At 40.6% G+C, this 14,558-nt stretch overlaps 1 annotated feature.

Moving 5' to 3' along the window:
• Nucleotides 11,161–11,455: a silencer, noted in NCBI's record as "tiled region #1033; K562 Repressive non-DNase unmatched - State 24:Quies". NCBI's record gives its function as "represses a minimal TATA promoter and a strong SV40 promoter by Sharpr-MPRA in K562 cells {active_cell/tissue: K562}" and the evidence as "EXISTENCE:reporter gene assay evidence [ECO:0000049][PMID:27701403]".

Raw genomic sequence — 14,558 nt, 5'->3', positions numbered from 1 at the left:
CATTCCTTTAACATCACTCTTGGTATTAAAATCTATTTTAGCCAGGGTTTTCCAAAGAAACAAGAGGCCTGGCATGGATAAAGAGGTAGGGAGTGTGATGGTTAATATTAAGTGTCAACTTGACCGGATTGAGGGATGCCTAGATGGATGGTAAAGTGTTGTTTCTGGGTGTGTCTGTGAAGTTTTTCCCAGAGAAGAGGACATCTGAATCAGTGGACTGGGAAGGGAAGACCCACCTTCAATGTGGGTGGGTCCCATCCAATGGGCTGCCAGCATGGCTGGAACAAAGCAAGTGTAAGAAAGGGGGATAGGTTTGCTTGCTGAGTCTTCTCACACTCTAGCTTCCTGTGCTTAATGTTTGCTTCCTCTCCTCCTGCCTTTGAACATCAGATTCTAGGTGTGTGGACCTTTGGACTCTGGGATTTTTACCAGCAGCCTCCCAGGGGCTATTGGAACTTTGGTCTCAGACTGAAGGCTACACTGTTTCTGAGGCTTTCAGACTTGAACTAAGTCATGCTACTATCTTTTCTCTTTGCCCAGCTTGCAGATGGCCTATCATGGGATGTTGCCTTGTAGTCATGTAAGCCAATTGTCCTATTGGTTCTCCCCCAGTCATGTGAGCCAATATTCCCTAATAAGCTCACAAACACACACACACACACACACACACACACACAATCTTATTTGTTCTCCCCTTTTGGAGAATCTTGATGAACAGAGAGAGAGAGAGAGAGAGAGATAGAGAGAGAGAGAGAGAAGTTTATTATGAGAAATTGATTCACATAGTTATACAAGCTGATCTGCCACATGATTTCCTACCTGCAAGCTGGAGGCCCAGGGAAACCAGTGGTGTGACTCAAGTCCAAGTTCAAAGACCTGAGAACCAGGGGAGCCGATGGGTGAGTTCCAGTCTGAGTCTGAAGGCTGAGAACCAGGAGCACCAACATTCAAGTGCAGGATTATGTGCATGACCCAGCTTAGGTAGAGAGAGCAAGTTTTCCCTTCTTGCACCTTTTAGTTTTATTCAGGCCCTCAACAGATTGGATGACATCCACCTGCATTGGTAAGGGTAATCTTATTTACTTTATCTACCAATTCCAATGCTAGCCTTTTCCAGCAACAGCCTCACAAATCCAGAAATAATGTTTTGCCAGCTGTCTGGGCTTCCGGTAGCCCAATAAAGTTGATACATAAAATTAACCATCACATATCATTATACCCATGTGTGGTGCTTAATATTGAGTGTCAACTTGACTGGATTGAAGGATGCAAAGTATTGTTCCTGGGTGTATCTGTGAGGGTGTTGCCAAAGGAGATTAAGATTTGAGTCCGTGGACTGGGAAAGGCAGACCCACTCTCAGTCTGAGTGGGCACCAACTAATCAGCTGCCAGTGCAGCCAGGATAAAGCAGGCAGAGGAACATGGAAGGACTAGCTAAGTCCTCCAGCCTCCGTCTTTCTCGTATGCTGGATGCTTCCTGCCCTCGAACATTGGACTCCAAGTTCTTCAATTTTTGGACTCTTGGACCTACACCAGTGGTTTGCCAGGGGCTCTCAGGCCTTTGGCCACAGACTGAAGACTGCACTGTCGGCTTCCATACTTTTGAGGTTTGGGGACTTGGACTGACTTCCTTACTCTTCAGCTTGCAGAAGGCCTATTGTGGGACTTCACTTTGTGATCATGTTAGTTTCGTGGAGACAGAAATAAATGTGATGGTAAGGAAGTGAAGATAAATTTAGTACATTAGGTTTTTCACTGTGTAGCTTAGATAGAACTATCAGCTTTCAAAACAGAACCAAAAGTACAAAGAGCCCGTGGGAATTGTTCACAGACCACCATCCAGTAGAGATCCTGGACCTGGTTTGTGAACTGAAGCCCTGTATCCTCTGGGATGGGTTCTTCCCCTGCTTACTGAAAGATAAAATCATGCAACACATTATTCAGTCACTCAATAGGTCACTTACTCATTGATGTACATAATAATAATAATAAGCATTTATTAAGAACTTAATATATGCCAAGTATTATACTAAATATTTTATATATGCTTTGCTAATTTGATTCCCACTCTAAACTTATGAGTAGATACTATTTTATCCCTATGTTATAAACAATGAGATTAAGATGCAGAGGATTTGAAAACCTTATCCACAGGGACATGGATACACAGTACCAGAGGTGTGATTTGAACCTAGAGTCTTCATTGGGCACCTTCTCTGTGTGAGGGTCTGTGCTTGGTGCTAGGTACTAATCAGACATTGACCAGAAGTGGCCAAGAGTGTCTCTCCTTGTCCCAGTGTAGGTCATTTTTCATGTTCTTTTTCTTTTCCTCAAATACTCTGATTCTTCATTCCAGTCAAAGCCTGAGATAGCTCTTATCCATGGTTCTCCGTTCCCTGTTAGGCATTGCTCAGAGTTCAGTCCTTAGGATTCTGAGGCTTCATTGATTTTTTTTTTAAGCTTAGCAAAGGCATTGTAAACCTTCTCTACCTCAGTTTTATCACTTCATTGTCTACTTCCAACTGGGAAAATCCAAACAGTGCATAAAGAGTTGAAAGTACCAGGGAAAATCGCTCTTTGGAGATAATGTTAAAACTAGGCTAATCACTGATGGGAAACCTTTTGTCTTGTAAGCAAACATTTGATCCCTTATAGTTGTTTCTGTGTTCCTTGTAGTATCTGTTGGCTGGGCACGTGGTGATGCTATTCCCTTATCTGGCTAGTAGGAAGTCACAAATCATTTATGCCAGGGGTTGGCAAACTGTAATCCATGGGTCAATCCAGCTACCTGCCGTCTTTTGTACATAAAGCCTTATTGCGATATAGTCATGCTTATTCATGGGCGGGTGCGGTGGCTCACGCCTGTAATCCCAGCACTTTGGGAGGCAGAGGCGGGTGGATCACGAGGTCAGGAGATCGAGACCATCCTGGCGAACACGGTGAAACCCCGTCTCTACTAAATATAAAAAAAAAAAAAAAAAAAAAAATTAGCCGGGCGTGGTGACGGGCGCCTGTAATCCCAGCTACTCGCGAGGCTGAGGCAGGAGAATGGCGTGAACCCAGGGGGCGGAGCTTGCAGTGAGCCGAGATGGTGCCACTGCACTCCAGCCTGGGCACAGAGCAAGACTCCGTCTCAAAAAAAAAAAAAAAAAAAAAGATATAGTCATGTTTATTCATTTACATGTTGTATGTAGTCACTTATGTTATAACAAAAATGTAGACTTATTGTGACACGGCCACATGGCTTGCAAAACTGAAAATATTAATTATATGGCCCTTTCCAGAAAAAGCCTGCCAATCCCAGCTCAATGCCATAATGATAATATTTGTGAAAGTTTTGCTGATTGTGAAATGCAATGTTGTAAGGACCCTGGCACAATATGGGAAACTGCTTATAAGAAATTCAATCCCTTAGAGGAGATCAGCTTTCTTTAACAACTCACTGCGTGCCTTTGCCTTTGACATACCCATATGACTTTAGCAGAAGTGACAGTCCCTGAGGAATTTCTATGATTGTCCATACTAAATGTTGCATATCTCTGTTGAATAATGTAAAAATACCACAACTGAAGAAAAAGAACGACTTTACTCTATGCCAACTATGTTCCAAGTCTTTTATTTATACATATCATTTTATTCTACCCTTAACTTGGCCAGGTAAAGTGAGTATCTTCATCTCTCCTTTATAAATGATGCTAAGACTAAAATAAAGAAATGTATTCAGGCTACACAGTTAATAAGTGGAAAGGAAAAGCTGTACACCCAAGCACCCAGACCTCTGAAGAACTTACTATTTTTGCTCCAAAGGCTTTTCAGTAATAATGTCTTTCATTTGTGATTTGTATAATTTCAGCAAATTTTCTCTAACACCATGATCCATAGACAGAACTGGCACCACTCTCTTTGTTTAACGAGGGATTTGCAATACAGAGAAAGTCATTAAGTTGCTAAGAAGAAGTGTAACGTTGGGCCGGGCGCTGTAGCTCACGCCTGTAATCCCAGCACTTTGGGAGGCTGAGGCGGGCGGATCATGAGGTCAGGAGATAGAGACCATCCTGGCTAACAGAGTGAAACCCCGTCTGTACTAAAAAGTACAAAAAATTAGTCAGGCGGGGTGGCGAGTGCCTGTAGTCTCAGCTACTTGGGAGGCTGAGGCAGGAGAATGGCGTGGACCTGGAAGGCAGAGCTTGCAGTGAGCCAAGATTGCGCCACTGCACTCCAGCCTGGGTGACAGAGCCAGACTCTGTCTCAAAACAAAACAAAAAAAAGGAAAAGTGTAATGTTTATGTAATTTTAGAGTCTACAAAAAAAAAATTTCAAAACAAGGCGGAGCAGCATAGATTCATTGTTTCAACTTTTATAGATGTGGAAATAGGCTGAGAGACCCAGTAGGATGCTGAAGTTCACACACCTGGCAGTGGTGCGTCTAGGACTTGTAACATTGTTGACTCCAAATTCTTTATTTTTTCTCTTACCTTAGCACATCACTTGGAGCCTACCAGGCCTCAATAGGTCTCTTAGAAGAGACCAAAGACATTTGGCTTGATTTAATGTATCTGAAACATATACTTACTAAAAATCATGGAAGCATACAATTTTCTCTCCTTAATCTAGCAATGCATGCTTTTGTCTGATTATGATATAAATCTTTTTTCTTTCTGGAAAAGCTGTGCAACCCATTTACAAATGTGGCTCTGTTGGCACGACCCAGTGTTTGTACCTGAACCCTTTACTGAGTTTCAGTTTGAAGACAGGCAGAATCATCATCTCTCAACAGAATCTATTTCCTATGAAAGTAGACACATAAGTGAGCATTTTGCTCCATAAGAATAGGCATGTAAGGAGTGCCTGGGAGAAACCTACATTATCCTTCTCATTAAATTTCCTCAGGCTGTTTAGGGTACTTGTGGAGGTTTCAGGCTGCAGGACATTTTCTTTGTCACATTTTGTTTTTGAATTCAGTTCTACACAGAACAAAAGTTGATTGAGTACACACATTGTGCAACATATTGCATTAGGTCCAGCTTGGGAGACAAAAGCAAATCAGACATAGTCACTGCTGACTAGCATCCCACCACCTCTGTGGAAGCAAAGAAGATTTGGAGAGACACTCAGAGTCACATGGCAAGGGAGGTAAATAATAACAGTTTTTATGGTATAAAATGTGGTGGGAAAATAAAGAAAAACAGTCATTTTGTGGGTTGAAGGTCATTAGCTTAGGTTATAGTCTTAGAAGTGAGTAAACTGCTTGCAGACGGAGGTGAGGATGACATTACAGGTGCAGAATCAGTGAGACCATAGAGTCAACAAGTGCAGGTATGACGGAGGATGCTAAGTAGTCCCTTGTGACTGTAAAATTCATGTACACAGGAAACGTTTCAAGTGATAAGATTAGAAAATCAAGCTGCGGCTATTAAAGAGCCAACGATGCCATGCCATGCTAGGGAGTGAGACTGTCTTTTGTAAGCAGCTCATGATTTTCCACAGGCAACTACTGTACCCAGTGGCCCCTCACACCCATCACACCATGCAAATGGCCTATCTTCTACTGCACGGCACTCGCATGAGTATATTCCATGTGACTTCCCAGATCTGTCCTCTGTCTTTCTCTTTCCTGCTTATGAGCCTCTACAGACTGACCTTTACAGGCTGGATCACATAAACTCCCTTGCATTCAAGCATCCCGTTGGGTGGGACCAGTATAAGGCACTCTCTGTAGACAAAGGGCTTAGTTCCACCTTATCCCTCTTCTATTCCCATCGCTCCTTAGCTATGGCTTGACATTGGTTACAATATTCTATGCAAGATGGAACAGCTATGTTCACTCAGCATCCTGGATTGCTTAGGAATGAGAAATGTCTCAGGATGCAGGACTTTCAATAATGAAACTGGGATAGCTCTGGGCAAGTCAGGAAAGTCCCCAGCCAACTCCTATCTGGTGGCCTCCCTCACACAGCCACAGTTCAACTACATCTTCAAGGGTCTTACTGAATTCTGGTAATTCCCTCTTGCCTCTCCAGGCCTGTGGGAGATGATGGCTTCCCTCAATTGATAGGGTCTGGGATCTTCATTATTCCTCATTAATTCCCTGTGTTGTGCCTACACTTCAGGAAACAGTCTCTTCATTTTATTCTTTTCAGACACTCCTTTGAAAGTGATGTCTGTTTCCTGCAAGACTTTGATAATAGTAATAAAGTAAAAAAAAATTTCCATAATCTGTCTCATGCTTAACTGAGTCCACCACCTTTCCTCATCTCTAACATCAGGAGAAAAGCATTTCCTTCATCTGGCTCCTGAATGAATAGACAATACAGTGAATAAATAAAGAATGGGCTTTTAAACAAGATCTGAGCTCTCAGTTTTTATAGCTTGACGACTGAGTGGGCCTGAACAAGTTAGTTCATCACAATACGTTATTTGTTCATTCTATGGGGATAGCCACACCCATGGCACGGGAATTAAAAAAGTGAACCAACATTTAATATATAAAGCCATGCCTCAACATATAACAGCCAATTTTAGCTCCCTTCCTGTTATAGAGTATGTTTAATGAGATCACTGATTTGGAAAGACAGCTAGCATTTATGGATATTTAGGGTATAGGCAGATTGGAGGAGAGTACAAACATATCCATACAAAACAACAACAACAACAACAACAACACATTAATTGCAGATCAGCTATGTGGTGAGCATTGTTTTAGGTGGTAGTTCTTTTGACGTCTGTTCAGTGTCCACCATATGACAGACACCACACAGGGGTGTTACTCTACAGCCACACATGTCTCTTCCATTCTTCCAAGCATGCCAGGCAGGTTCTTGTCTTTTAAATATTTGTACTTGCTGCTTCCTCTCTTTGGAATGTTCTCCCTCCAGATATTTAAGTACTACTGTCTTCCCTTCATTCAGATCTTTGTTCCAATGAGACCACTGCAGAAAGAGTCCCAAGAGCACTAATCAAGAATAAAAATCTGGGTAGGCGTGGTGGCTCACCCCTGTAATCCCAGCACTTTGGGAGGCCAAGGCAGTCCAATCACCTGAGGTCAGGAGTTCGAGGCCAGCCTGGCCAACATGGCAAAACTCTATCTCTACTAAAAATATAAAAATTAGCTGGGCATGGTGGTGGGCGCCTGTAATCCCAAGCTACTCGGGAAGCTAAGGCATGAAAATTGCTTGAACCCAGGAGGCAGAGGTTGCAGTGAGTCTAGATCAAGCCACTGCATTCCAGCCTGGGTGACAGAGAGAGACTCCATCTAAAAACAAAAGAAAAAGAAAAAAAGAATAAGAACTGCTCCTTATCATTTCCTACCCCTGACTTCATGGCACTTGCATTTACTTGGCATTATATTTTCCATTTATTTGTTTGTTTATTGTCTCTCTCACCCACTAGAAGTAAGCACAATGGAGGTGAAAACTTGGTTTTGCTCCTTACTAACCCCATCACCACATGAACAGGGCTTTGCACGAAGTCTATACACAATAAGGCTTTGTTAAATAAAGAACACAATGCTAGAAATTAGGAGCACAAAGATGAATATGATATAATTGGACCGTTGTGGCTCTGACAGCCTGGTAGAGGTAATACATTAGAGTTTGGGAGATATAAGACAGGAGAGGAACTAATGACCTGAACAACTCTGTAAGCCCGGCTAAGAGATTTTGACATTTAAGAGACAAGAGCCTGTTTAAATATCTCTTTTCTTATCAAATGGAGAGGGCAGTCTTGAATATGGAAGATTCAATTAAGCCTGGCAAATCCATCTTTCATTGATGATCTCTTGAATGAGAGGGACCTAGCTGTAGCCAAATGAACAAGAGTGTAAGGGGACTGTGAAACTGACTTACAGTTAACTGATGTTTCAACATGGGGAAGCCAATGAATATTTGAAGAATACCAGTATGTGAGTTTCCACATGTGCAGTGTTCTTGTTGGCTCCCTGCATGTGTGCAATTTACACGCTTGAAAGCTCATCCTTTCATTTTTGGAAAAGACAGCTTAAAGAGATGCCCTTTTATCCATTTGACCCTTGCTTTATTTATAATTAGATATGAAATGTGCTCTGCATAATATCCCACTTATTCTCACCAGCCGTAATCTATCCAAGGAATAGCACACATGATGTATACAAAAATGCAGTGCAATGCATCAAGACTAAAAGTTCTGGAACCATGTCTTGCTCCTCCAAGGGCCAGCTGTGTGAATGAGGGAAGCCCATTTTTACCTTTGCATATCTCAATTTCTTTATCTCCATAACTGAGGTGTAAATTTTACATGAATATTTGTGAACTTGTTTTGTGAAGTATAAAACAGATTTCTTTACAAGAGTTTATAAATCCCAATTGTATTTATGGTTGCACATGCTTTGAAGGTACCAAAAATATGGAATAAAATTAGATATATTGTGTGTATGCACACAAGTATATATTTTTTTTCTGGGTTTGGATACTAACGACATGTAGGAGCTAAAGATTTTCTGAGATTCTCAAAGCATTCCTAACCCACCAAAAACAAAGCCTCCCTGCTGCAAAATAGTATAAAAAACAGGGGATTTGGAGCAGCTAGAGTAGTATCATTAACTTTGGTTACTAAAAAGAACAAAAGCCAATTTATATAAATTAGTCTTAAGAATTCCTTGGGTTATTGCTCAGTTTTCTCTTCTTGTTGTATAGCTAGTCAGAAGTTGTGGAAAGCAAATTACATACCAGTGAGCTTATTTAGAAAGGTGGGTTCTAATTCCGACCAACCAATACATTAAATGAGTCATGTTGCTAACCAAGGTAATCACAGAAATACCTGCGTGCCTTCTTTTCCCTCACTTCTTTATGTCTATACTTGTGTTCACTACCAGTCATGTTTTCTTGGATGATTTGAAATCTTTTGAGCACATCCAGCTTAATTGTTACCCTAAGAGCTTATTGGATTAATCATTTTATAAGGATGAACTAGTCAATTCAGCAAAGGCAGTTGTTGGACTTTGTATACTTACATCCCTAAAACTAGCCAGTTTTGAGTTTTGGGGATGAGCTGTTATCTTCCAGTGGCTTTAGGTTTTCCCACGTATAAGATGAAGGGTTTTAATGAGTTTCCTGTTTTCACCCACTCTTGAACAACAAATCACCTTCTATGACTTTTCCACAACTTTCTGCCACCTGCTCTTATTCTGTGTTCTCTCTGTCTTTGTTCAAAATTGCTTCCTCCAGCTGGATTGCATGTCCGCCTTCTCTCCACCTATGGAATTTCCAATCCTGTAAACTTAAGTCAAATGCTTTCCATTCACAATGCTTTGCTCTTTTTGCTGGATTATCCGTAATGTGTAAAGTTTACCTCTCTTTTTCAAAGTTCCTGTACATACTAAATGCTCAATATATGGTTATGCTACCCTTATGTACAAGAGTAAATCAACCTAGATATCTGTCTGTCACAATAAATGGAGCCTCGACATGCTTAATTATTCAGAGTTATTAGCGAGACAACAAAGCCTAGAACCTATGTCTCCTAATTTTAGTATGTCTGGTCAGAAAGGAGGTACTATGACTTATTATCTAAACAGAGAAGAACATGCAGAACTGAACCAAGAGGAATGAGATGTTTGGGAAACTAATCCAGTTGTGTGTATCAATGGTTCAAACAAATGGGCCGGCCTTGGGGTGAAGTATCAGTGCTAATGGAAAGTGAGATGCTTAAAGGAGAAAAGTCAGCAAGGCAATGAAGAACTATTATGAGATTGAAGAAACTCACGTCCATAGACTGGGTCAATAAGGTGAGGGGCAGAGAAGGCAGAAACATAAAGCATTCCTGGGGAAAAAAAAAAAAAAGCATGGGCCATGGTTTGAGTCCATGCTCTTCCCATTAGGTGCCGGGTGGTGGTGAGCACATTGTTTCATGTCTCTAAGCCTCAGTTGTCTTGCCTGCAAAACAGAGATAAACATACATACCTCAGCTCCTAGCTTTGAAAATTAAATACTATAAATGTATGTGGCACAGCTCAATATCTTGCATAGAGCATATGATAAATGAATAGTTGCTTTTATTATTATTGTTGCTATTTTCCTTATTCTTGGAATAAAAAAATTGTCAATAACATTTACTTCTATTTGGAACGTGATGATAGGGTGGAGTTATTGGCAGGTTCCCATCACACACAAATTTTCCCCATGAACTGGAATGAACTTGAGTGGCGTAGGGGTACATGGGTTGGCCCATCTGTAGATAGAGTTGTCAGCATGTGGCACAATGATGGTAAAAGAGTTGCATAAGGGCCTATTCCAGCCGAAGACTTGTGCCATTATATCCTGCAAAGTGTGTTGCAAAGCCTTGATCTCCATGGTAACCTCTCCCTAAACAAGCACACCAACATCTGAGATTCTTATTTTAAGCAGTAGCTATTTTTCTCCTTTTTATTCATCTCCCTAGAGTTATAAACTTCTGTAATGCATGATAAGTTGCATCTACCTAATATCATCGACAAACTATTCTGCCAGGAAAAGAAATACCCAATGAAAGCAAATCAATGGGCCATGGAAGTAGCTCTTCCCAGCAGTGACCTAATCTGCCTGTTTCAAAAGAAGGTGAGGAAACTGTAATTCAGTAGCAAGCCAGGATTACTGGAAGTGATCATTTGATTTGCAGCACTGCCTTTGTGATCTTGTCATAGAGGCTATAATGACATAGACTCTGACACAGGCAGAAGGATAAATTGTAATGGACCATGATGTTTGCCTGCAGAATTAATCTGCTCAATCATGTCTCTAAACCTCAATTTCCTCATCTGTGAAATGGTAAGAATGATAGTTTCCCGAACTATCTGAAGAGGTTGTCTATTTGTTTTTAGGATATTCTAGGTGAAAGCTTTTATACACTTTACATTGCTGTGTAAAATCTAAGGTCTCATTATGCATCGTTCTTTGATACCTGTTTAATTTTTGGCAGGAGTGTAAAAACCAAAGTCGCCTCTTCTTTGTCTTTCTTGCTTCCTTCAGCTGAGAGAACTGCTAAGCAGGGAAGAGCATAAACATTTATTTAGCACACTAAAGGCAAGAATTTAATCTGCTTTGTTTGCTGCAATAACCTTAGCCCTAGAGTAGAAATTAACTCATGTATACATTCATTCAGTTTCCTGTATGTATACATTTTTATCTTGGTTTGGTTTCTATAGGGGCAGACTCTAAGACAAGGCTATGATGTAAATAGTTCATTGGGAAGTGGTCTTAGGACACACCAGCAGGGAAACGGAGAGTGAGTCAGGGAAGGGAAGGCACCAGTGAAAGGTATATTGAGGATAAAGCAAAACCTGCTGTTGTCATGTAGAGCTTGGTCCTGCTGGGGAACCATGGGAGTCAACAGGGGACACACACCTCCAAAGCATAGTGGAGCTGCTGGAGTACCAACCCCCTACTCCTACTCATCATTTGAGTGAGGGCTTCTCCCAGGCACATTATTCCCCCAAGAGTTCTCTCCACCCCTCACATACACAGAAGTTCTGCAGCCAGAGAATGACCACTGGCAAAGAATTATAGGTGCTGGCAGCTGGAAGTTGGGCTGGCCTCACAAAAATAGTAAGAGGTTATGGACAGGGCACCACTGACATCTGCTTCAATTGTTTATCAGGAAGTCTGTGTAAATCATCTTAATTTCTGTGATTCAGATTGAGTGTTTTGTTATTCAATGATTCTAACAGTGATCTATAATTTGATGTTAACATTTTAATTAATGTTGGATGTAGGAGAAAGAAAAGATGAAGAGGCAATATCTCGATTGCTATGATGTTGGACCATCTGATGCTCTGATTTTTATTTTTAAATTGTGACATGTAATACAAGCAGTCTGTGGTATGTTGTGACTAAAGATCATGGTGTTTTGGTGAGAAAAACAAAAATAGAAAAAAATGCAAAAAGGGCGTTAGATTTGGGTTGAAATGCTTTCTTTGTCGTGAACTGATAAATGATTGTAGACGATCTCTCCTCTGTTGCAAAGTTAGAATCTTGAGCCAGGACAGAGACAATAATTACATTTCAAGGCATGTGCCACATCTGCAGCATTGGGGGTGGCTGCATCAAGCACCCTGTTGGGAATATTGACACTGTGTTCAGGTTTGTAGTAAACCAGCCCCATGTTTTTCTGCTGATGTTGACAAGGATCTTTGAAAGACTGTGCCTATGCCATCCTAGTTCTAGGTGCTTGCTATATATAGTCACTGCAAACTTCTTTCACCCTGTCCTGTCTTCTCTTTTTCTGTAATAATCAACTTAATCATAGACTGAGCTATTTTAAAACTCTCAAATGTAAAAAAAAGAATGCAGTTAGCACTCACCAAAACTATACTTGTATCATACCCTCTTCCCTTGAAAGTTTGAAAATCCCATGTAAGCTAACAGTGCTCAGGATCACGAATCCATTCAGAAAGCATCATTTCTGGCCGGCCGGGGTGGCTAACACCTGTAATTCCAGCACTTTGGGAGGCCGAGGCGGGCTGATCACGAGGTCAGGAGATCGAGACCATCCTGGCAAACACGGTGAAACCCCGTCTCTACTAAAAATACAAAAAATTAGCCGGGCATGGTGGCGGGCGCCTGTAGTCCCAGCTACTGGGGAGGCAGAGCTTGCAGTGAGCCGAGATGGCGCCACTGCACTCCAGCCTGGGGACAGAGAGAGACTCCGTCTCAAAAAAAATAAAATAAAAAAGCATCATTTCTGTGTGGTTGTATAGAAGAGGAGGTTAATACTGATTACCATTTCATGACAAATAAACAAGCTATTATTACACATAGAGGCAAAGGCAAGAATTTGAAAAGAATATACAGCATAATATAATGAAACGGAGGTTATAAAACTCCAGGAAACATGATCCAATATCTTGTACACTCGCTGAATAATTACACTGATTTACAATTTTAAGTAGACTTTTGCATGCATTTTCTTATATAGTCCTTAAATAAACATGAAGATAAATAACAATGTAAGCCCAGAGAAGGTGTGGTCGTGTCTCTTTTACCTAATATTATATCCCCACCACTTATCAGAATTTCAAATGTAATTTTTAACCTCAGTAAATATTTGTTGAATCAAAGTCTCATTTTCCTTTTTCTAGACAAGATAAAATATTTTTCTCAGATCACACGTCTTGTAAACAGAAGAAGCATGGCTTTACCACAGACTTTCAATGTATGTACCAGATACTCTGCCTGCACGTATTCACAGTTAATTCTCAGGACCATCCTGTCAAAATTGCATCATTTATTATTTATCTCCTCAATTAGATTGTAAGCCCTTGTCCATCTTTGTCACAGCTGATACCTTACTACCTAACTCAATGCCTTAGATATAGTAGGTGATCAAAACCTAATTATTGAAAGAATTCCTATTTGAAAATTTAAACAAAAGGAAAACAAAAATTTAAAGGACTTGATAAAAATCACATACAGAATAAATGATAGCTTGTCTAGAATCCAATGCTCCCTAAGTACAGATAGAATAATAAAGAGGATAATTTGAGGGCCATTTACTGATAAGCATTATCATATCAACATGCAACAGAATTTTAGCTACCCAAGTTCAGGTACTGTCTGATTTTGGATATTAAAGAAACAATGCTTTCAAAACTATCAGCTGCTAAGTAGTTGGGAAAAAAAAACTTTTTAAAAAATTGCTCAAACATTCACTGTGAGTCAAAACACTATCAATTTGGGGTGACATATGTTGCCTTTCAAGGTGATCTCTGGCCTTATTGAGCCTAATGGATGGTGATTCCAAATGTCAGATTTTCCTCTTTCTCACTTGACCCTTGGGTTTCAGAGTGAATTACATTTATCACAAAAAGGTCAGCAAATGCTTTGAAGTAAAATGTGTACAGAGAAGAAGGGAAATTTAATGGTTAATAGAAATTGACTTTTCTTTATACTGAAGCATAAGCATGTTATCTGTAAGCATGTCAGGCCAAACTTTTTGCTTTACAGAAGAAAAACAGAGCTAAAGCCCTCCTAAACAAATACATGCATCAATTGAGTATATCTAAACCTAAGCTGATCCCAATAAGATCAGTTCCTTCTGAACTTATGCTACATAATTTTTCCCCAAGAAAATTAGTAGCACATGCCCCCATCCTCTTGGCCTACATCCCCTTCGCCCACCTTTTGGTTTCAGTCATGGTTGTTAGGGACAATTCAGGTTCACTTCCAGCGGGGAGGTCCCACCTTAAGCAGGATTTGCCTATCTCTCTGTCATGCCCTGAAGACTTCTACACTCCAAAAGAAATAAGCCTAAAAACAAGAGAAAGTGGAAGAGTCTATGTTCTGGTATTAATGGATAAATGTTTTAGACTCTCATCTTTCAAAGAGATCAATCTATGATGTGTGTGTGTGTGGCGGGGGGGGGGGGGCGGCAGGGGGGTTCAATTACCAGAACTGGGGTACAGAATAAAATTCCAGGAACAATTGTGAAGACACTGATTACATGTCTTCAGGATATACTAAGTCCTGGGTTTATAAAGATTACCCGAGATGGCCCTTAAATTGTAAGAACTCAATATCCAGTAGGTGACAGATATCTGAAAATATATATCC

Source organism: Homo sapiens, chromosome 8 (genome assembly GCF_000001405.40).
Source record: "Homo sapiens chromosome 8, GRCh38.p14 Primary Assembly".
Lineage (NCBI taxonomy): Eukaryota > Metazoa > Chordata > Mammalia > Primates > Hominidae > Homo > Homo sapiens.
The sequence above is the reverse complement of the archived record's forward strand: the minus strand, read 5'-3'. Positions and strand labels throughout refer to the sequence as shown.